This window comes from Homo sapiens, chromosome 15, assembly GCF_000001405.40.
Source record: "Homo sapiens chromosome 15, GRCh38.p14 Primary Assembly".
Classification (NCBI taxonomy): Eukaryota; Metazoa; Chordata; class Mammalia; order Primates; family Hominidae; genus Homo; species Homo sapiens.
In genome coordinates this window covers 82,077,449-82,099,696 of record NC_000015.10, presented here as the reverse complement: position 1 = coordinate 82,099,696, position 22,248 = coordinate 82,077,449, and the positions used below count along the sequence as shown (strand labels likewise).

The 22,248-nt window shown below is 46.1% G+C and overlaps 2 long non-coding RNA genes across 2 annotated transcripts, besides 2 other annotated features; both read right to left on the bottom strand.

Annotated features, from left to right (window-relative positions):
* Window positions 1–24: 24 nt before the first annotated feature.
* Window positions 25–3,115, bottom strand: LOC105370924 (uncharacterized). Its single transcript, XR_932532.1, has 3 exons — window positions 3,077–3,115; window positions 718–818; window positions 25–292 (listed from the first exon to the last, which is right to left on the bottom strand). It is a non-coding gene; the product is annotated as an uncharacterized LOC105370924 (long non-coding RNA).
* Window positions 2,003–11,103, bottom strand: LINC01583 (long intergenic non-protein coding RNA 1583). Its single transcript, NR_120367.1, has 6 exons — window positions 10,969–11,103; window positions 7,093–7,970; window positions 6,203–6,303; window positions 5,463–5,714; window positions 3,261–4,215; window positions 2,003–2,249 (listed from the first exon to the last, which is right to left on the bottom strand). It is a non-coding gene; the product is annotated as a long intergenic non-protein coding RNA 1583 (long non-coding RNA).
* Window positions 16,387–16,489: a silencer, noted in NCBI's record as "fragment chr15:82375549-82375651 (GRCh37/hg19 assembly coordinates)". NCBI's record gives its function as "represses an EF-1alpha promoter that drives an FKBP-Casp9 reporter gene in an ReSE screen in phorbol 12-myristate 13-acetate-treated (for megakaryocytic differentiation) K562 erythroleukemia cells {active_cell/tissue: K562(+PMA)}" and the evidence as "EXISTENCE:reporter gene assay evidence [ECO:0000049][PMID:32094911]".
* Window positions 16,992–17,051: a silencer, noted in NCBI's record as "silent region_6746". NCBI's record gives its function as "represses an Ori minimal core promoter by ATAC-STARR-seq in GM12878 lymphoblastoid cells {active_cell/tissue: GM12878}" and the evidence as "EXISTENCE:reporter gene assay evidence [ECO:0000049][PMID:35858748]".

Genomic DNA, 22,248 nt, shown 5'->3' with positions numbered 1-22,248 from the left:
AGATTGCACCACTGCACTCCAGCCTGGGCAACAGAGCAAGAATCCATCTCAAAAAAAAAAAAAAAGTGTAAGTGTTCAGAGATAACCAATTATGCCAAATCCCATATGATAAAATTATAATGTTAGAGTTGGAATGGCCCTTGGAGAGCAAGTTGCTCCCAAAGCCGTGTTTTATGGAGGAGAAAGAAGTCCAGGGATGAGCAACTTGCCCAGTATCACAGGGCAGGCACGAAGCAGGACCAGAGCTTGGACAGACGTTGGCTCACGCTCTTTCAGGTCATTGGCTGCATCCCTGAGGAAGAGGGTGAGGAGGGAGAGAGGGAGGGAGAAAGGGAGGTAGCTTGCAGATGAGTACCTACTATGTGCTGCACACTAGGTTCAGTGTTTTCCAAGTTCATTCCCCACTTAGAGGCCCATAAGTGCTCATTGACTTAGGTTAAAACTCCAAGTCCACAGCTGCAGATCTACGTCTAGGAACCTTAAGAAGCTGTTGAATGTCGCCAAAGGAAAATGTCATCTGTGCAGCATAGAAAGTGAACCCATCAAAATGACAACTGTGTATCCACTCAGACACCCTAACTTCAAGCCTAGCAGGGTTGAGAGCAGTGTCAGTCCTGTGACTAACCGTCTAGAAGGATCATTGCAGCATGCCAATGTTAGACACCGCACAACAAGCCACGGACCTGACCCACCCTCAAGCTTCCCTGAGAAACCCACCTCTCGTCCTCAGCAGCTCATTCTTGGAGGCTGCATCTGCTCTTCTGTCCTCTTTGTACACGTCCTGCCGATAAGTCTCTCTGAATGTTCCCCTCAGGCGACTGAGTGACAATAACGAAACAACCGTCGTCGCAAGCAACGCTGACTAAGGGCCATGCAGCAGGCCCTTTACACACAGTGTCTCATTTAGTCTTCACCAGGACCCTACTATTATCTCCTACTTTACAGATGAGAAAACGGACACCCAGTGACGTGGGCCCCCCGCCCCTACCAAAGTCCCCTAGCAGAGCCAGGACTCAGAAGCAGGTCTGCCTGACCCCAAAGCATGTGCTCTTGACCTTTCAACTCTCCTGCTTCCAGGTCCTGCTCTTTTTCTAGAAGACATAACTTGAAAAATTAATTACAAATCCAATAAAGGAAATGCTATTTGGAAATTAAAACAAAATAAAACAAAAAGCACAGAACTCTTCAGTCAGCAAAGAACTCACGGCTGAATTTACAAAGTTTTCATACAGTAGTAACCATGAAATCTACATATGTTTTAACAAAAGAGGAAAACTCAACAGAAAGATAAGCGAAGGATATAAATAGGAAACTCAAGAAAAGGAGTTACATAAATGGCTCAAAATATATGGAAAAAAAGTCAAATTTTCTAATTAAAGAAACACAAATTAAAGCAACAAAAGATTTTGGAAAATGACCAAACCCTATGTTGGAGGGAGGCAGATGGCAAAATGGGCCCTTGCACACACTAAGATGGGGAGCGGAAATTTGAAAAATGCTTTTGAGGCAGGGCCCTACTAGTGGCACTTTTTAGCCTTAAAAATATGCATAACCAGGGCCAGGGGCTGTGGCTCACACCTGTAATCCCAGCACTTTGGGAGGCCCAGGTGGGCGGATCATGAAGTCAGGAGTTTGAGACCAACCTGGCCAATATGGTGAAACCCCATCTCTACTAAAAATACAAAAATTAACTGGGCATGGTGGCAGGCACCTGTAGTCCCAGCTACTCGGGAGGCTGAGGCAGAAGAATTGCTTGAACCAATGAGGTGGAGGCTGCAGTAAGCTGAGATCGTGCCACTGCACTCCAGCCTGGGCAACAGGGCGAGACTCATCTCAAAAAAAAAAAAAAAAAAAAAAAAAAAAAAAGCGTAACCTTTAACTGCCAATTCCAGTTCTAGGAATTTACCCTTAGGAAATAATCTCTGATGGACATAAAGAATTATCTATAAAAATGTTCTGTGCGACATTGTTAATGGTAGCAAAACTTGACAAAATGTTGAAATTTGACAAAACCATAGGAGTTATAATTAGTAAACACGGTGTGCATCATGGAAATTATGCAGCTATTAAAATGTTTCTACAGCCTGAGTAACATGGTGAAACCCTGTCTATACAAAAAATTAGCAGGGCATGGTGGCATACGTCTGTAGTCCCAGCTACTCAGGGGGCCTGAGGCCAGAAGGTTCGCTTGAGCCCAGGAGGTCCAGGCTGCATTGAGCTGAAATCTTCACTCTAGCCTGGGAGACACTCTGTCTCAAAAAAGAAGAAAAAAATGATGCTTTAGAAGAATATTTAGAACCAGCCAAATTTTTATAATAGTGTAAGTGAAAAAGGAGTTAATAAAACAGCATATTCAGTGTGATCTGAATTTTCTTAAAAAATATCTGTCCTTCAGCCGAGTACAGTGGCTTATGCTGGTAATCCCAGCACTTCGGGAGGCTTAGGTGGGAGGATCACTTGAGCCCAGGAGTTCAAGACCAGCCTGGGCAATACAGGGAAACCCCGTCTTTACACACACACAAAAAATTAGCCAGGTGTGGTGGCACATGCCTGTGGTCCCAGCTACTCAAGAGGCTGAGGCAGGAGGATTGCTTGAGCCCAGGAGTTTGAGGCTGCAGTGAGCCATGATTGCACCACTTCACTCCAGCTTGGGCGACAGAACGAGACCCTGTCTAAAAAAAAAAAAAAAAAAAAAAAAAAAATTCTGTCCTTAACCAAGTGGTGAACATTAACACCACCCATGGTGGGGCAGGCCCGCTTCATCTGCATCCTGCTATGACATGCTGAGAAAACAACATCACTTCTGGGGATTTTGTATTCCCGAAATGCAACACCTGGATCTAATAATGAGGAAATGTCAGACAACCCCCAGTTGAGGGGCATCTTGTAAAATAACTGGACTATATTCTCTAAAAATGCTAAGGTCATGGAAGATAAAGACTGAGGAACAATTCCAGATTAAGGGAGACTAAAGAGACCTGAAAAGTCAATGCAATGGGGGATGCTGGCCTGGATGCTCAGCCAGGAAATAAAATTGCTATAAAGAACATTATTGGGGCCTGGCGCGGTGGCTTACGCTTGTAATCCCAGCACTTTGGGAGGCCGAGGAGGGCGGATCACCTGAGGTCAGGAGGTTGAGACCAGCCTGACCAACATGGAGAAACCCTGTTTCTACTAAAAATACAAGATTAGCCAGGTGTGGTGGCATATGCCTGTAATCCCAGCTACTCGGGAGGCTGAGGCAGGAGAATCGCTTGAACCTGGGAGGTGGAAGTTGCAGTGAGCTGAGATTGAGTCATTGCACTCCAGCCTGGGCAGCAAGAGTGAAACTCCGTCTAAAAAAACAAAACAAACAAACAAACACAAATTATTGGAACAATTGATATGATTTGTTTATGGGCTGTGCATTAGTTAATAGTGTCAATGCTAAATTTCCTGATTTCTATGTTGGTACTGTAGTTATTTAAGAGAACTATCTTATTCCAGGAAATGGGGATGCTCCTGGCCCAGGATCCCCCCACAACCTCTCACTGCTCTGTTCCCCTCTGGCACTGAAGGAAAATGGTGTAAAGGAAAATGATGTTTTCAGCATGGTCCCAAATGGTTCAGAAACTAAATGTCTGCCTATATTAGAATATTATTTAAATTATAATTTTTAATATTCATAACATCATTTAACATAATTATATTAAGATATATTTAACATAATTATTTGTAACTATATTAAGATATATTTAACATAACTATAATTATATTAAGATATATTTAACATATAATAATACTTTAGAGAGAGAGAGGTAGAAGGAATAATAAAGCAAATGGAACAAAATGTGGCCAGTTGGTGGATCTGGGTGAGGAACATATGAGAGCTCCTTGGACTCATCTTGGAAACTTTCTCCAAGTTTGAAATCACATGAAAATAATAAGCTACCCCAAAACTACATAAAAAACTGGAATGTTATTAACAAAAAATATCAGTAACACTTATCTTTCGGTGGTAGGATCACACTTGATTTTAATTTCATCTTCCTGCAGACAAGTGTTTTCTCAAGTTGTCCACAACACGCATGTGTAACAATGTCAGTGCTTCATTGGACAGTCTGAACTCAGTGGGGTGTAGACATGAAACTGCCTTTAAAAAGCCCTCACTGCAGCTGGGCAGCACTTTTCAGTTCCTCGATGGCATCTTGGAAAATCTCAAAACTCCCTGAGTACCTGTTAGTATGAAAACATCTGGTCTAGATTTCAGTGTTTATTTCCAATCTAACGGAGAGCTCATCTCCTTGCCCTGGTCTTTGCCTGGCCTAGGCTGGAAGGAGGTGGGAGGGGAAGGAGATGGCATGTTCTGCTTTTACCCTCCTCTGCTCACCTCTGCCTCTGAGTGGTCAAGGTCAGGACAGAGGGTAGAGGTAGTAGAGGAAAGGAGACTACATTCTCTCATCCACCTGAAGCTGTTGAAGTTTCCCAGTTGGCTGGGATGCCTCTGGTAGCCAGAGTCCAAGGGCCACTCCTCCTGGGGGCCAAATGTGAGTTCTTCAGGAGGCCCTGGAGGGAGCTTACCACTACACATCCCCCTGGCACGCAAGATCCTCCTGCCCCAGCACCCCCCACGGCCTCTCCCCACTCTGGTCCCCTTGCCCAGCAGGCAGTGTACTCTGGAGGTCCCGCAGGGCAAAAGTCTGGAACTGACTCCACATCACCCTCCCGACCCCACCATTCTGGATCCTCTTGTAGCATTTCCCCACTCAATGAATGGCACCCCTTCCTCCCCTATCATTCTTCCCACCTCCCCTCCCTTGCTCATGCACAATCACCAAGTCCTTTCTAGTCTATCTCCTGAATATTCCCCCAGACCAATAGTTTTTCCAAACTTATTTTTAGAAATAGGCTTTTCCTTCTCAAACAGAAACTTGCGTGGTACCCTAACACACAGAACATATCAAAGTAGAGCCACCCGGGTTAAAGGGAGAAGGGGAAGGTAGAGACGGCAGGTGGAAATTCCCCCACTGGCCACCCTCCAGCCACACACTGGTTCCTGGAATCCCTCTCAACACAAAAAACTCCAGGGGTCACGGTGGTGAGAGTGTGCTCCAATCCATCCACTTTTCCCATCACCTTGCCTCTGCCTGGATGTAGGCCAGCATTATCATGGTGCAGGGCATGGCCACGTTCTTTACTGAACCACAGTCTCCATTCTGTAGCCAGAGTGGTCTTCTCAAATGAGAAATAAAATAGTACAATAGTCTTCCCTTATCCACAGAGGATACATTCCAAGACCCCCCAGTGGATGTCCTGAACCCTACGTACACCATGTTTTTTCCTATACATACAAACCTACCTAGGATAAAGTTTAATTTATAAATTAGGCACAGTAAGAGAGTAACAACAACAACTAACACCAAAACAGAACAAGTAACACAATACACTGTCCACGATTTCACAAACAGAAGATTCATTCTTACCATAGATCTTAGCAACCTCAGCATATGATTTCTTTTTCTTTCCTTATTACATTGAGAACTTTCAGCTTTTCGCTTACAGGAAGCACTTTGCAGCCTCTTTCTGGCATGTCGGAATCACCAGCGTCGCTACTCTTGCACTTTGGGGCCATCGGGAAGTAAAATAAGGGTTGCTTGAACACAAGCACTGTGCCGCTATGACAGTCAATCTGATAACCCAGACGGCTGCTAAGTGATGGGTGGGTTGAGTCATGTCTACAGCAGGAATACGATGGACAAAAGGATGATTCACATCCCGGGCAGGATGGAGCTGGGTGGCGCGAGATTTCATCACACTACTAAGAACGGCATGCAATTCAAAACGTATCAGTTGTTTATTTATGGAATTTTTCACTGAATATTGTTGGACCTCACTGAACCATGGGTAACTGAAACCACAGATAAGGGAGGACTACTTTATATCATTCCCTTGCTTAAGCTGCTCCTCATTTTGGGGGATAAAGTTGACACCCCCCCTGAACGTGGTGTAAAAGTCCCTTCATATTCTACCCTCTGCCAGACTGCTGTCTGGGGATCCCCCACCCCCCCGCCCCACATCCCAAAATTTCATATGCTGACATCCTAAACCCCAACGTGATGGTATTAAGAGGTAGGGCCTTTGGGAAATAATTAGGTCATGAGGACTCCACCCTCACAAATAGGATTAGTGCCCTTATCAAAAAGGCCCAAGAAAGCTCACTTGCCTTTTCAACACAGTAAGAAGCCTTCTGTGAATCAGAGAGTGGGCTCTCACCAGACACTGAATCTGCTGGTGTCTTGGTCTTGGACTTTCCAGCCTTTAGAACTGTAAGAAATAAATTTCTGGGCTGGGCATGGTGGCTTACGCCTGCAATCCCAGTACTTTGGGAGGCCGAGGTGGGTGGATCACGAGGTCAGGAGATCGAGACCATCCTGGCTAACACAGTGAAACCCCGTCTCTACTAAAAATACAAAAATATTAGCTGGGCGTGGTGATGGGCACCTGTAGTCCCAGCTACTCGGGAGGCTGAGGCAGGAGAATGGCTTGAGCCTGGGAGGCAGAGCTTGAAGTGAGCTGAGATGGTGCCACTGCACTCCAGCCTGGGCAACAGAGCGATACTCCGTCTCAAAAAAAAAAAAGGAAATTTCTGTTGCTTATTAACCATCCAGTTTATGGCATTTTTGCTATTGCAGCCCAAATGGGCTAAGACAGCCCCTCCAGTCTCAGTCTCAGCTTCCTTCACACCAAATTTGTTCCAATGTCCACAACACATGATGATCTCTGACTCCAGATCTTTAGACACATCTTTCTCTCCTCCTGCTGTCCCTCCCTCTACACGTTCCCCGGCCCCCTTTCCTTGACCTGGAGATGCCCCTTAGGCTTCTAGTCCCACAAGAGAATGGACTGAATGGGAGGAGGTTATCGATGGGCCTGGGTCATGCAAATGGGATTTGGAGTCTACAGAAGGTCCCAAATGAAGACAGGAAAGAAACCACTTTGGATTTGTTTATAAACTGGATGTTCAAAAGTCAGGCACCAGAGATCATTTGAGCTGCTCTGGAACATCTCCCTTAATCCCCAAAGGCCAGTCCATCTGCCTGGGGTTTTCTGTACCTAGTTCCAAAAAGAGTCACACCAGCAGGGTTCTGGAGGCTATCTAGAGATGCTTTTGGAGCTTGTCCTTCTAAAACTCACGTCCTCTAAGGAGTTACTTGTCAGCAGAGGTGAATTCACATAATTGAGGAGTTTTTTCTAAGAAAACAAAGTCACAAATAGAAACTTTGGTGCAGGGCCTTGGGAGAGGCCTTAGGCAGACAGGGGGCCCTGAAACTTAGCTTCATTGGCTTCCTGGTCAATCCAGCTCTCCTGGTCAGAGGCTGGAATCAGGACAGCAGCTGCAGCATGTTTCCCATTTTCAGGGTGATTCTGGTATCACTGTGGGGTGTGGGAGTCCGGAGTCAGGCAGGCTTGGGACCCAGTACAGGCTTTGTCTCACCAGCTGTGTACCTTCTGGAAGGTTACTTCAATCCTTTGCACTTCAGTTTCCTCTGAAGGGTCGTTATTCTAAAAGGTCTTGGCATCTAAAAGGTTCCCTGTTTACCCTTCCAGAAAAGCAGCCTTACAACATTCAGAATTCATCAAATGACTCCAGCCCCTTTTGCAACTACAAGGACAAAACCAAGTGCTTAGTGTGATGGGGGAAAATGTTTTTGTAGCTTAAGGATCCCTTTCACAAAGTGTCATTTAACTTTTTACCACACACTTGGGAAAAGTGCACTCAACTGGGTTGGAAAGTTCCTTTGCTTGTCTTAAGAGGAGTTCTACGGTGACTGTGTTGATGCTGCATGGCCTGGGTGAGGAAGAGCACTGGCCAAGACCTGCAGCTGCCTGAGCTGTCCCACTCTGTCGCAATTCTGGTACCCAGAGGAGAAAACAGAGGAAAGAGGACTAGGAAGAGGATTTCTGTTTCCTTTCCTCGATTCATGCTTAACCTGTAAAGTGAAATTTTGATGTAAGCAAAATAAGTTTTGGCATCCTTTTGCTTTGCTTTCTATGCTTTCTTTTGGGGGGCTCCTTCCCCTCCCCCACCCCTTTTGGGGGGCCCCTTCCTCTCCCCCACCCTATCATATCCCTTAGGTCTTCCATGCTGTGCAAAGGCAACCTTACTGTTCGCCCACCATGCACCCCAGCGTACCCTCACCAGTCCCCAAGTCCACAGGATAGCTGCTTAGAGTTTGAAGTCAGCTCTGATTGAGCTAAGAGCTTCATTCTCAGTTCTTCATACCTTAACCCTCTGGAAAGTATTTACATGTAAAAGAACATTTGTGACCCATCTACATGAATTTCTAATTGGGTGGACTATCAGAGTGAGGAAATGAAATCTGAAACTACGCTGAGTGGATGAAGATAACTTTGGGCACCAAGGATAGGGAGGTCAAGCCTCACCCAGAATTGGATGTCTGCTTTTCATAGTGCCTTCCCTTCCTGCATTTCAGATCTTCAGATGCTCTAAGTATTCCAGGTCTTTCCAGAATGGCTAGGGCCAGGAGTGGAGGTGGGAGGAAACGAGACGGGGAGAGAGGGAGAGCCAAGGTTGTTCACAGGTGTGGTTTGTTTGCTAACAGATTGGATGCTGGCTTCTTAGATGCTAATCTTGGGGCCTGAGGAAGGAGGGCTGGGGAAGGGTTAGGGAGAGAGAGCCGAGTAATGTTAATGGAGAACCAGGTCAGTGACTTCATATGGTGAAAAATAGGGAATCTCTAAAAGTTTTTGAGCCAAGATGTGATGTGTTACAAGCAGCTTTTAAGAAAGATTGATTTGCGGCCGGGTGCGGTAGCTCACGCCTGTAATCCCAGCACTTTGGGAGGCCGAGGCAGGCAGATCACGAGGTCAGGAGATGGAGACCATCCTGGCTAACACAGTGAAACCCCGTCTTTACTAAAAATACAAAAAAAAAAAAAAAATTAGCCGGGTGCAGTGGCGGGCACCTGTAGTCCCAGCTACTTGGGAGGCTGAGGCAGGAGAATGGCGTGAACCCGGGGGGCGGAGCTTGCAGTGAGCCGAGATAGCGTCACTGCAGTCCAGCCTGGGCGAAAGAGCGAGACTCCGTCTGAAAAAAAAAAAAAAAAAAAAAAGAAAGATTGATTTGCCAGTGATATGTCTGATTGATTGAATAAGGGAGCCTGGGGTCAAAGGCTGTGAGGGTGGCCGCCCCAGGAATGCAGGGCTGTGCAAAGCATACCAATGGTATTTCAATGAAAACATTGCTATTTGGTATCTGAATATGGAGGGTGAGGAAAAGAATTAAGACCTACATACTAATAATAATGACACTAACGATACTAATATGAAGAAGTGGGAAAACTAGTGCTATCCTTGATAAAGACAAGGTAACAGGATTTAGATGGGATATCTCTTAGCCAGCAGCCAAAGGGACTCTATAGCAGAAACTGGCTAGTTATTCACCACATTGTTGCATTACATGCCTTTGTTCATATATCTTTGTAAACTCATATGAATGTTTCCTTAGGGTACTCTCCTAAAAGAGCAGTTCGTATATCAAAGGACATATGCATATACACTTTGAAAAACTTGGGCAAGCATTTTTATCTTAAGTGGCAAGTCCCATTCAGTGAATGTGAGGAGAACAGGCATTCTCCTATGTCACTGATGCAATTGTAAGATGCTACGCCTTTTCTGGAGGGAAATTTAGCAATACGGTCCTTTAAATGTAGTCTTATCAATGTGCCTATCTAGTAATTCCATTTGTAGTTTTTTTTAAGGAATTAATCAGACAAATGGGCAAAGATATTTTTGTCAGACTTTTGGCAGCACTATATATTATAGTGAAAAATTAGGAGGAAATCTGTGTCTGGTATTAGCGGAATGATTAAATAAAATATGGCACATTCATACAATTAAAAATCATGTTGTAGACGTACATTTATGGACATAGGGAGATGTTCTCAATGATGCGTGCTACAAAAGCAGATTACAAAGCACCAATTGGAGGCAACATGAGTTTAAGATTTGCTCCCCACTCAGGATTCCAGGATCCCATTTCTTTTTTTTTTTTTTTTTTGACTTGTACCATCACACCCGGCTAATTTTTGTATTTTTAGTAGAGACAGCCAGGCTGGTCTCGAATTCCTGACCTCAGGTGATCTGCCTGCCTCAGCCTCCCAAAGTGCTGGGATTACAGGCGTGAGCCTCTGTGCCCAACCTCCATTTATTTTTTGAGTCAAGATCAGGAGAAGGACTCGGCTGGGTCCTTTCCCTTCCTTCCTGGCAGGATCGGCCTTCCAAAGTGAAGAATGGCAGGTGGGTAGGGGATCTTTCTCTTCAACTCTTTGGCACCCGTTCCTGCTGACTGACACTCCTTGGGTTTTCAAAGAAGTTGGGGCATTTTCCCCTAGTATTCCCAGCATGGATTATGGAACCATTCCTATTACATCCCTGTGAACATCTGGGTACTGAAGGAAAGGGGACTCGAGGCTTCGGGCTTATAGATTGCAACTTGGATTGGATGTCCTGGCACCGCCCCTTACTCCATGCTCTTGAGAATCTCTGTGTTTCCATGGACAATTCCACTCCCATGCCACCCTCCATCGCCATCATTAGGACTGAAGGACACTCCATGGTCAGAACTGTATCCTTTATGTTCTTATCTCTTTCGTAATTTTTCTAACCATGGGATTGAAATCACATTGACCTCCTCCACGTCCTCCCCTTTTTCGCTTGTGAGAATGTCTTGAAAGTTTCCTTTGAAATCTAAGAAAACTGACAATACCCAGTGTCCCCATTGCTCAATGTTAGAAAAGTTCTAAAAAAATATATTCAGGTGGTGGTGGTTTTGGAAAAGTACAGAGGGTATTGAGGACGTGAGACTGATTCTCTAACAAAGAGCAGGACCAACAGCGTGGGCTATGGGTTAGACCCCACTTGCCTTCCTTTTAAATGTTGGGAAGGTTGAGCTATAAAAAAGCAAACCTTGGCCGGCTTAGATTCCTTGATCTTTGTGGGTCACACCTTCCTCTTGCCTACCATCGACAGGGTACTTGCTGCAAACATGTTGGGAGGTAATTGAGACGTAGGTTAGTGAACAGTAAGGAAGTTTCATTCTTTCACTAAAGTAGAACTTCCTTACCTCATTAGAACTTAAGAACTCCTCACAATGAGTAAAGTGCATAATAATAGATCTGCCAGGGAGCTGGAATTTCTCTTGTTGTAGAAAAATTTTATTGTAAAGAAAAGTGGTATAGTATATTCGATTGAATTAAAAAATAACTCTTGTTACATTTGTTGAGAACCTAGTATATGCCAGTTCCTCGGATGCACACACACACACACACAGTTACATATTATATGTTACGTATTATACATCATATGCTACATATTATATCGGATATTACTACATATCCATCACACACACACACACACAAACACACACACACACACACATATATATATATATATATTTTTTTTTTTTTTTTTTTTTCTGAGACAGAGTCTTGCTCTGTAGCCTGGGCTGGAGTGCAGTGGTGCCATCTCGGCACACTGCAGCCTCCACCTCCCAGGTTCAAGCAATTCTCCTGTGTCAGCCTCCCCATTAGCTGGGATTACAGGCACCTGCCACCACACCTGGCTAATTTTTTTTTGTATTTTTAGTAAGACAGGGTTTCACCATTTTGCCCGGGCTGATCTTGAACTCCTGATCCCAAGTGATCCTCCCGCCTCAGCCTCCTAAAGTGCTGGGATTACAGGTGTGGCCACCGTGCCCGGCCTATGTGATACATATTAGATATCACATATTGCAGCCAGGAGGAGACTAGCACTGTATTTCTAATGCCTGAGCTTTCCTTACTGACAATTTGACCCCAAAGGTTAATGGGGTTGCTTTTTTTTTTTTCTTCTGCAGGGGACAAGTGGGAAGCAGAGCTCTCTAGCCAAAAAATTTCCAGAAGATCCATTAGGGCTTTTCATTTTTGGGATGGAAAAGGGAAGAAAGGCCTGGAAAGAGTCGTGAGGATGTTGATTGCTGGGTTGGTGGAGAGCACTCAGCTGCAGCCCCTATGGAAAAAGATTGCCGGAGCCAGCTTTACTGAGTGAGGCGGGCCCAGAGCAGGGGGACCAAGCTGACAGGTACCAGCAGTTGACCCCAGCAACACACAGTCTCGGGAACAGTAGCAACATGAGCCTGGGAGGGCAGGCTCCTCTTTGCTTGGGAGTTGAAAGTTGGGGGATCTTTTAAAATAACTCATTGCAGAGAACGAGGTGCTCTTTGACTGTCAGCGGACAGAGTTCACAGATTCCCTGAGGGCTGGATGGATGAGATACAGAAAGACAGAGCTAGGATCTAGAAAATACCTTGGTGGGCCTGAGCGCTGCCATGAGGCTGACAACCGCATCCAGGCCAGGACAGGGGCTGGCTTAGCAGCCACATGTGTAAAAAGTCATTAGGCACAGAGAGGTACATGGAGGGGAAGAGTCTATGAAAAGGGCTTTGAACCTCAGGAAGTGTGACCCAAGTGCTGACCCGAGGGGCTGTTTTGGGTGCTGGTAAGACCACACCTGTGCTTTGTGGTTGGCACCAAACAGCACAAATGCTCCCTTTCTCAGCTGCCTGGAGACCCTGTCCGCTAATCATGGCTCTCTCTCATTTCCATCTCATCTTCACTCCTATCTGCCCTGGATCCTCCTCCACCTCCTTGACTTGTCGCCACCCCCTCTGAACCACTGTTGATTCTCTAGGGCCCCTTCTTTCCCAGAGCTCTCTGCCGTCCTTCTTGCTGCCCATCTGATAAACCTTTCGACATGGAAGCATTGGCGTTTGTCCCCTGCCATCTCCCATCCCAACCCTCCAGTGGCTCCTAACAACAGCAACAATAGCCACCAGTTACTGAAAGCCTAACCTGTGCCCGTTATCAGTGTGGTGCAGGTGGTGGTGGGGATTTTAAATTGAGTCGTTCTTGGGTACCTCCCTCCTCTCCTACTCCCCACCCCGCCAACACACACACAACACACACACAACACACACGATCAGTTTAGCTACTTAGTGATTTCCATTTTCAAAAATCAGCCAGAAAGAAGAAAAACAGATGTTTTCTAGGGGGTGTTAATTAGTGAATAGTGTGTTCAGTTGTTACCCACGAGAGCTGATTGTCAGCAACAGCAAACAGGCACCCAGATACAGGAACAGCACGGCACCGTGTTCTCTGGGCCCATCCAGGCTGGTGCATTCTTTAGGCAGAGTTATGGTGGGAGAGGAACTAGGGTGTGCTGAAGACCTACTAGGTGCAGGGCCTGTTCTTTTCGTTGTTTTTTTTTTTTTTTTTTTTTTTTGAGACTGAGTCTCACTCTGTCGGCCAGCCCGGACTGCAGTAGAGGGATCTCGGCTCACTGCAACCTCTGCCTCCCAAGTTCAAGCGATTCTCCCACCTCAGCCTCCAGAGTAGCTGGGATTATAGGTGCACGCCACCACATGTGGCTAATTTTTTGTAGAGATAGGGTTTCACCATGTTTGCCAGGCTGGTCTTGAACTCCTGATCTCAGGTGATCTGCCTGCCTCGGCCTCCCAGACTGCTGGGATTGCAGGTGTGAGCCAACACACCTGGCCTGTTCTGAGAGCTGTGTGTTTGCAAGTTCCAGGCTCCTATCTTCTCCAGAGAAGCCACAGGCCCATATGAACATAGAATACCCAGCCATGCTGACCACATGGACCCAGTCCCCCTTGCACTGAGTTGGAGTCCTCCAGCCCAGATCAGCTGGTATCTCCTGGCCTCTGCTCTCTATTCGATCGACGCAAACCCTCCCAGGAAGGATACACGGAAGGCTCAACTCTCTCCGAAGATGTACCAGAGGGCCCCCAGGGGATCTCCGTTCACCAAATAGCCAGTTTCTGTGAATTCACCTACTGAATTATTGTTTCCTGCTCTGTGTCCTGCAGTTGCTTCTTTATCTCTACCCCAGTAGGCACCAAAATAAACTCTTTGCCTTGTTTCCCTTCCCAACCCAGCAAATGGGGATGCCCTGGGCTGTCATGTCAGCAGAATGTGTACTGATGAGTTGTGGGCCACCAAGTAAGTTCACGTGATGGAACTGAGCACAAACGACTTAAAGCCACCACTTTGAGTCCTGTTGCAGAAACCCTTTCAGCCAGTCTCCCAGGAGGGCTTCTCACTGCCTTTGATCTGTGGAGCCCCCAGCCTTCTGCCACTTTGCAAGATTTTTCCTCTCTCTTCTCTTCCAATCTCTCCTGTTATCTTCCAAATTTGGCTCCAGGCATATCTGAATCCATGGAGGTGCTTGGCTGAACAAAAGGATCTTTATAGGACAGGATGTCCCTTCCTTAGAAGAGCATTATGGTTATTAATGGCATAGACATTTTCCTCCTTTGCTGAATTACGTTTAACGGCCCCCAAACGCTTCGCCTTGTATGTTGATGTTGAACATGAGGCAAACAAACAGTCTGTGGACTTGGGTCACTGACACAGCCTCCTTTCCCTGGCTCCCCTCAGAGGTCTGCCCACCTTTCCACAACTTTGGTGTGTATAAGGTGTATAACGATACCCCATCTTCCCTCGTCTGAGCCCACCTCACCTGGCATGTTGTCCACGGCCTCCCTCAGGCCAGCCCTTTATTGAGACATGTCAAAAGAAAGAATGAACCCTCCTTCGCCTCCTCCTTCTTCTTTTAATTAATGGATGTTGTTTTTTAGAACAGTTTTAAATTTCCAGAAAAATTGAGCAGATAAGACAACTCCTATATACCTTGCTTTGTGTTCTCACCAAATTTCTCTTGTTAACATCTTACATACCAGTATGGTACATTTGTTAGAATTAATGCAGTTCTATTGATACATCATTATTAACTGAAGCACACCGTTTATTCAGATTTCCTTTGTTTTTACCTAACGTCCTTTTCATGTTCCAGGATCCCATCCAGGATCCCACATTACACTGGGTCGTCTGGTGTCCTTGGGTGACTTGTGGCAGTGACAGCTTCTCAGACTTGCCTTGTTTTTGAAGACTTTGACAGTTTTGAGGATTGCTGGTCAGGTATTTCGTAGGCCACCCCTCTGGTGGAATGTATTTGATGTTTTACTCCTGCTTGTACTGGGGTTATGGGTTTTTTCGAGGAAGATGGCAGAGGTAAAGTGTCATTTTCATCCTGTTGCAATGAAGCTGCATGCTATTAGCATGATTGATCACTGTGGATGCTGGCCTGGAGCGTCTGGCTGAGGGAATGTGTGTCAGGTTCCTCCTCTGTCAAGTCACTCCTTTTAGCCCCTCTTTCCAGGCGGTATGCATTGGGAGGAAGCCCCCATACACAGCTCACACTTGCGAGGTGGGGAATCATGCTCTACCTCTTAGAGAATGGAGTATCCACAGAGGTTCTGTAGAATTCGTCTGCATGGGGAATTTGTCTCTTGCACATTCTTAAATTTATTAAATTGTTAATAAATGTGTTAATTTATTCAGTCAGGTATTTATATGGTATGGACTCACGGGTATTTATTGTATGCTTTGGGTTATAATCCATTGCAACTTTGTTGATTTATTTGTTCAAATTGTTCCTGCTTTGACCCTGGGTGGTTCTTTCAATGGGCTCCATTGCACCTTTGCATACCCCCATATCTCTGTTTCTCTCTCTCTCTCTCTCTCTCTCTCTGTGTGTGGTCACTTTCTTTCTTGGTAGCATGACAAGATACTCCCTTTTCTTCATTTCACCCCTGCTCTTGGTTATTCTTGCTCCTGTTTTCAAATCTGTTTGAGATTTAAAAAACGTGAATGTCCCAACTACCAGAGGGCCAAGAATATTGACTCCTCTCCATGGGTAACCCAGTGAGTGTCCACATTCCTCCTTGGCTGCAAAAGCATGTTTTCATTTATTCCTTGCAGCACACCTTTGAGTGGATAGCAATATTCTCATTTGACAGAGACTCAGAAATGTTAAATAACCAGGTCAGAACCACACAGAGAAGAAGCAGGGAACAGCACCTGAACCCCATGCAATGCAGTTGCCTCGCCTTTGAGGGGGCAGTTCCCAGTCTCCACCTGGGGCAAGAACGATCACAGGGCCTCTTTGAGGAGGATACAGACCTCCAAGTCTTCCCCATGTGCGCCTCGTTCAAAACCCTCTGGTAGATCCTGGAGCACTGTCTCCCTCAGGCCACTTCAGCTGTTTGGGACTTTGGAAATTCACCTCCCTACCAGAGAATAAAGAATGGGTAACTGGATAATTTTTGCAACAACAAACCATGCCCCTGTAAGCAGCTCGATATCCATTCCCTGGATTAAAAATTGTCTGCTGGCCAGGCATGGTGGCTCACGCCTATAATCCCAACACTTTAGGAGGCTGAGGTAAGTGGATTATGAGGTCAGGAGTTCGGGACCAGCCTGGCCAACATAGTGAAACCCCATCTCTACTAAAAATACAAAAAAATTAGCCAGGCGTGGTGGCAGGCACCTGTAATCCCAGCTACTTGGGAGGCTGAGGCAGGAGAATCGCTTGAACCTCAGAGGCGGAGGTTGCAGTGAGCCAAGATCACGCTACTACACTCCAGCCCGAGCAACAACGCGAGACTTCATCTCAAAAAAAAAAAAACAAAAAATTATCTGCTGTAAACAGGGAGAGGTGTGAATAGTGTTGCGTTCACTCTCCTCATTACAGGATGGCTCTTGGTGGATTTTCAATGACATTCAACAAATGAAGGGGGAAAAGTAAATAAACCAAAACCACCCTATTTTTATGAGAGGGTATGCATATTTACATATCAGTCTCATATTTCAGTGTTCCAGTTTGGGCTATGGTTTTTTAAAAAGGCACTATTTGTTTTTCCTTTTTATAGAAACAAATTTCACTTTGAATTGTGGCGGTTTTTTTTTTTCTAAAGAAAAAGCTACTTTTGAATTTTAGAACTGAAAGAGTGTCTGGTCCATAGCAACCACATGAACAAGATTTCAAGAAATCCTACAGGACTCTACCAGAAATGGAATGGACGACTTGTCTGCTGTGTAGTTCATGGTCAAACACTGTCGTCGCTGGGGCCTGTGGTCCAGACCACAAACATGTGATGAGGGCCCAGAAGAAGGAGCCAGGCTGAGTCAGACCTTCGGCCTGCCTGGGCACTGGCTCTGCAGAGCCCAGAGAGATGTCTCTCACCCTCCCTCCCACCTCACTCGCCCATGGCTGGGACCCCTCCTGCCTGCTCCTGTCCACGTCCCTGCCTGAGGCCACGGCTCTGATCTCCTGCCAAAAGCTGCCCCACTCCTGGGCCACAGAGTCTGATCCCTGGAGGGGCTGGATTGTGCTGAAAGGGAGGAGGAAGAGCAGGGCTGGGAAGTGTGTCCCGAGTCACTGAGCCCAGAGGGTCCGAAACCCAGCAGCCCGGCTTGTATCCACCATGGGTGTCTTACGCTGGCACAAGTACCAGTCAGGCCCACCAGAGGGTGGTTTAAATTCTCCCTCAACCCCCAGTTGTGGACCAGGACTTGGTTTGCATTCAGTTTTGGAGGGAGGATGAACTCAGCTTTTCTGATGCTCGGGGTTAAAAAAAAACAAGCCAGTCCACAGTCTGCACTCCATTGACTGGCCCTCCCTCGAACTCCCAGTCCTCATGCTGTGTTCCTAAGATTAGCTGTTCAACAGGGCCCCCTCCAGGTGTGTTACTGAATAACAACAACAATAATGGAATAGTTTGAAATGCCAGGCACAGTCTGAAGTGTGTTATAGACTTGTATTATCTCACTCAAGCCTCACAGCATCCCTGCGTGAAGGTGGAATCATTATCCCAAATTTGCAGACAAGACTGAGGCTCAGAGAGATCAGTAAGTAGTAGAGCTGAGATTCAAGCCTGGATTCGCTTGACTCCGTAGTCCATGTACTAACTAACCACTAGGTTAAACTCCCTTGTTGGGCCTGACCCATGAATTGGAAAACCAGAACCTGGCCCCATCTTCGTCAGTACTTGGCTGGGTCACCTTGAGAAAGTCACTTTCCCTCTCCTGTCCTCTGATTTATTATGAGTCAAATACAGGTAGTACCTATCAGGGTTTCCTGAAGAGGTACCTATGAAAATGATTTGTTTCCCTGCTGTAAGTGATAAGAAAACCTCCAAAGATAATGCCCCCCTGTCTTTTTAAGGCTTCTCATTCTTTCTTATGGCACTTTCTGCTCATGAGTGGAAACTTATGTGTATTTACTGCAGGGACAACCACATTTTGTCCGCAGAGCTATGGGGTGCAGCAAAGGAAGGTAGGATTTGGTACATTTCCCCAACTCTCTCCTGACCAGATCCATATATTCTCAGCTGGTTGGAGGCGTGACTCCAATCTAACTGACCCACAAAACCTCTGCCTCTCTCCCTTCTCTGCTTGACTCATCCATTCTTCAGAACCCAGTTTGGGAGATCTCTTCCAGAAAGGCTTCTGTGACCATCAGTCTGAGTGTGGGGCTTCTCCTTGAGCTCCCACCAAGCTCTCTCTCTTTTTTTTTTCTTTTTTCCACACAGGATTGTGCTCTGTCACTCAGGCTGGAGTCCAGTGGTGCGATCATAGCTCACTGCAGCCTTGATCTCCTGGGCTGAAGTGATCTTTCCACCTCAGCCTCCCAAGCAGTTGGGACCACAGGCATGCATCATCACGCCTGGCTAATTAAAAATTTTTTTTTTCAGAGAAGGGGTCTTGCTATGTTGTCCAGGCTGGTCTTAAACTCCTGGGCTCAAGCGATCCTCCCGCCTTGGCCTCCCCTAGTACTGGGGTTACAGGCATGAGGGACTGAGCTGGGCACCACGCTCTCCTTGTAACTTCTTCCTCTCTCCACAAAGGCAGGGACTTTGATTGTCTAATGCCTGATCTGCTGCCCAGCAGGAACGCTCTCAGTAAAAGATGAATGAATGAAAAATGGGTCAGATGCACCTGCAATGATGTGTGATTCATTCTCAAAGTTGTGTGGGTGTCTGGTTGGACTCTGCTCATGTTCCTCCTGTGTCCCCAGGTCCCACTTCTCACTGATGCGCCCCAGGCAGTCTGTGGTGCTCTACTCTTTCTCCAGGGCCACCTATCACTGAACCTACAGGATGGCCCTGATGAATCAGGGGCAGGTGGCACAGGTGGATGGCAGGGGTACAATGTGCCAGAAGTGAGGTGTTCACCCCCTGTTCAGGTGGTTTGGGTTGGAGTCTAAGCTGGTTTCCTCTATTCCTGTCTTACTCAAGGGAAATTCCTACCCCTGGCCAAGACAGAAATAGGAGAAACCAGCTTAAAATCCATCCCTTTCCTCTGAGACAGAAAACCATCAAAGTGTAACACATTCACCTTATCTAAGGAAACCTCAAATTTACTCAAAATGGCAGAGAGAGAAAAATGCGTCTCTTGTGTGTGTGGAGTTGGAGCCACATAATGCACATTCAGAGGGTTTACACCCCTCATGGAGGATTCTTCTCCTTATAAAGTTGCCACAAAAGAAGAGACACAGCCATGGATGCTCACAACCTAACTAAGATTAGGATAAGCCTATGGGGCGGGGCGGTGGGGCAGACAGACAGGAATACAATGCCTTCTGCCTCTGCATGCCATTTGTCTTTCAGGGAAATCTGGCTGAGAACTGCTGTAGATACTTGCTATCAGCAAGACACTCTCCCATTTCCTACCCCAGAGTTATGAGGAGTGTACGTGCTGCTGGATGGGAGCAGCGCCTGGGCAGATTCCATAGACAGAAATGTGATTCTGATGGAAATAAAACAAACAAACAAAGCAAACTCAGCAAAAGTCTCAGCAGTCATGAACCTTCTGGGAAAGAGCTGCACTAAATTACCGAGTCTCTTCATTTAGATGAAAGTGCGTGTCTTGAGACATCATTGTTATTTTAACCATCTGGGAGGAAAGTATTCTCCCTAAAGCCTGAGCTCCTTGAAGGCAGAGCTGTGTCTTACATAACTCTACATCATCCATGGCGCCTGGTTGTAGTAGTTGCCTTCCCAATACCTCTTCTTTTCTTCTTTACCAACAGAACCTCTGTATTGTTGGGGTTTGAAGTAATAAGCTACATTTCCCATTCTTCTTGCACAGAGAGATGGCAAATGAGATGTAAGCAAAATTGATTAAAGCGCTGTTAGAGCTGTTTGAAAGGGATTGAGAAGAATGCCTTTTTGCTGTTTCCCTTTCCTCCTGCCTGCTGACTGGAATTTACATGTGATGACTTGTATTTCAGCAGCCATTTTGTGATTATGAGTTGACTTTGAAGATGAAAGCCACATGCTATAAGAATGGTGAAGCAAAAAGATAGGTTTCTAAAGCTTCTGAACAGCAAAGGAAACAATCAAATGTACCCCATAAATATATACACCTATTATATGCCCATAATAATTAAAAAATTAAAAAGGGGCTGGGAGCAGTGGCTCAGACCTATAATCCCAGCACTTTGGGAGGCCAAGGCAGGTGGACTGCTGAGCTCGGGAGTTTGAGATCAGCCTGGGCAACACGGTGAAACCCTGTCTCTAAAAAAAAAAAAAAAAAAAAAAATTAGCTGGGAGTGGTGTGTGCCTGTGTTCCCAGCTACTCAGGAGGCTGAGGTGGGAGGATTGCTTGAGCCCAGGAGGTTGAGGCTGCAGTGAGCCATGATAACGTTACTGCACTCCAGCCTGGGCCTGTTATGCAAAAGTGCATGGGCTCTGGGAGAGAGGTTGGGAGGCTCGCCTTTGAATATGGGTATTAAGCTTCAGTGGATGAATTATATATCATTTATTAATATCTTGGCTGCTCAGAAACCTTTTTACTCACTTGCAGCTTTGGCCACATCTTAAACAGCTGCATAGCTAGCTCTAAACAGGTGAGAATTCTGAACACTACATCTCAAATTTCCTTTTTTTTTTTTTTTGAGACAGATTCAGATTCTTGCTCTGTCACCCAGGCTGGGGTGCAGTGGCACGGTCTTGGCTCCCTGCAACCTCCGCCTCCCGGGTTCAAGCGATTCTCCTGCCTCAGCCTCCCCAGTAGCTAGGATTACAGGCGCATGCCACCACGCTCGGCTACTTTTGGTATTTTTAGCAGAGACGGTGTTTCACTATGTTGGCCAGGCTGGTCTGGAACTCCTGGCCTTGTGATCTGCCCACCTCGGCCTCCCAAAGTGCTGGGATTACAGGTGTGACCCACCACGCCCAGCCACATTTCAAATTTCTAAGAGCTCAGGCACAGGGAGGTGAGCATGACATCAGGTAAGGGAAGTAAGGGTTCGGTCTGTCGTTCCTGCTGGACACTGAAGGTGGACGTGTATTTGATGACCAGATAGAAGATGGGTCCTTGTGTAGTCTTTTCACTTCAGAGGAGTTCCTTTGCTCTCTTGGGGCTTCGGGTTCCCTTTCCATCCAGATGCCCAGATGCTCCTAGACTGGTTCTTCCCTTTCTTCCCTGGCTTTCTGTTTTCTGTGCTTGCTCAGGGGAATAGTGTGGGAAGACAGTTTCCCTCACAGGTTCAAGGCGGTAGAGCGTTGTTGAGGGTCTCCTGCTGGAGAAGTGGAACTTTGCGACTGTCACTCAGGAGTGCAATGCAGTTTCTGAGATGAAAATTTGCGAACCAATTTCACGTGGTCAATGTTGTGAATGAATTTATAGCTAGTGAGGCTCTGAGTGCTGATCAGCTGGGATGACTTTGGAGCTAGATCTGAATACTAATGGGACTGGGTGACTTTAGTTGGTGAGAATTTTGAGACCCTCTTTGTTTTGTTTAAAATGGTCTGAGGCTTTTTTTTTTTTTTTTTTTTTTTTGAGATGGAGTCTTGCTCTGTCGCCCAGGCTAGAGTCAGTGGTGTGATCTCGGCTTACCGCAACCTCCGCCTCCCAGGTTCAAGCGATTCTCCTGCCTCAGCCTGCTGAGTAGCTGGGACTACAGGCGCCTGCCACCACGCCCAGGCAATTTTTGGATTTTTAGCAGAGACGGTGTTTCACCATGATGGCCAGGCTGGTCTGGAACTCCTGACCTTGTGATCTGCCCACCTCGGCCTCCCAAAGTGCTGAGATTACAGCCATGTGCCACCACACCCAGGCGTATTATATCAATAACAATTTCTTAGTTTTGACAAATGTACCATGATTGTGTAAGATGTTACTAGTAGGCAATGCTGGATAAAGGGTATACAAGAATCATATATGCCATCTTTGTAACTCTTCTGTAAATCTAAAATTATTCCAAAATTAAAAGTTTAAAATAATTTTTAAAAAGTCAATCACCAAAAAGTAAGTACATTTAGGACATAGATACATGCAAGACATG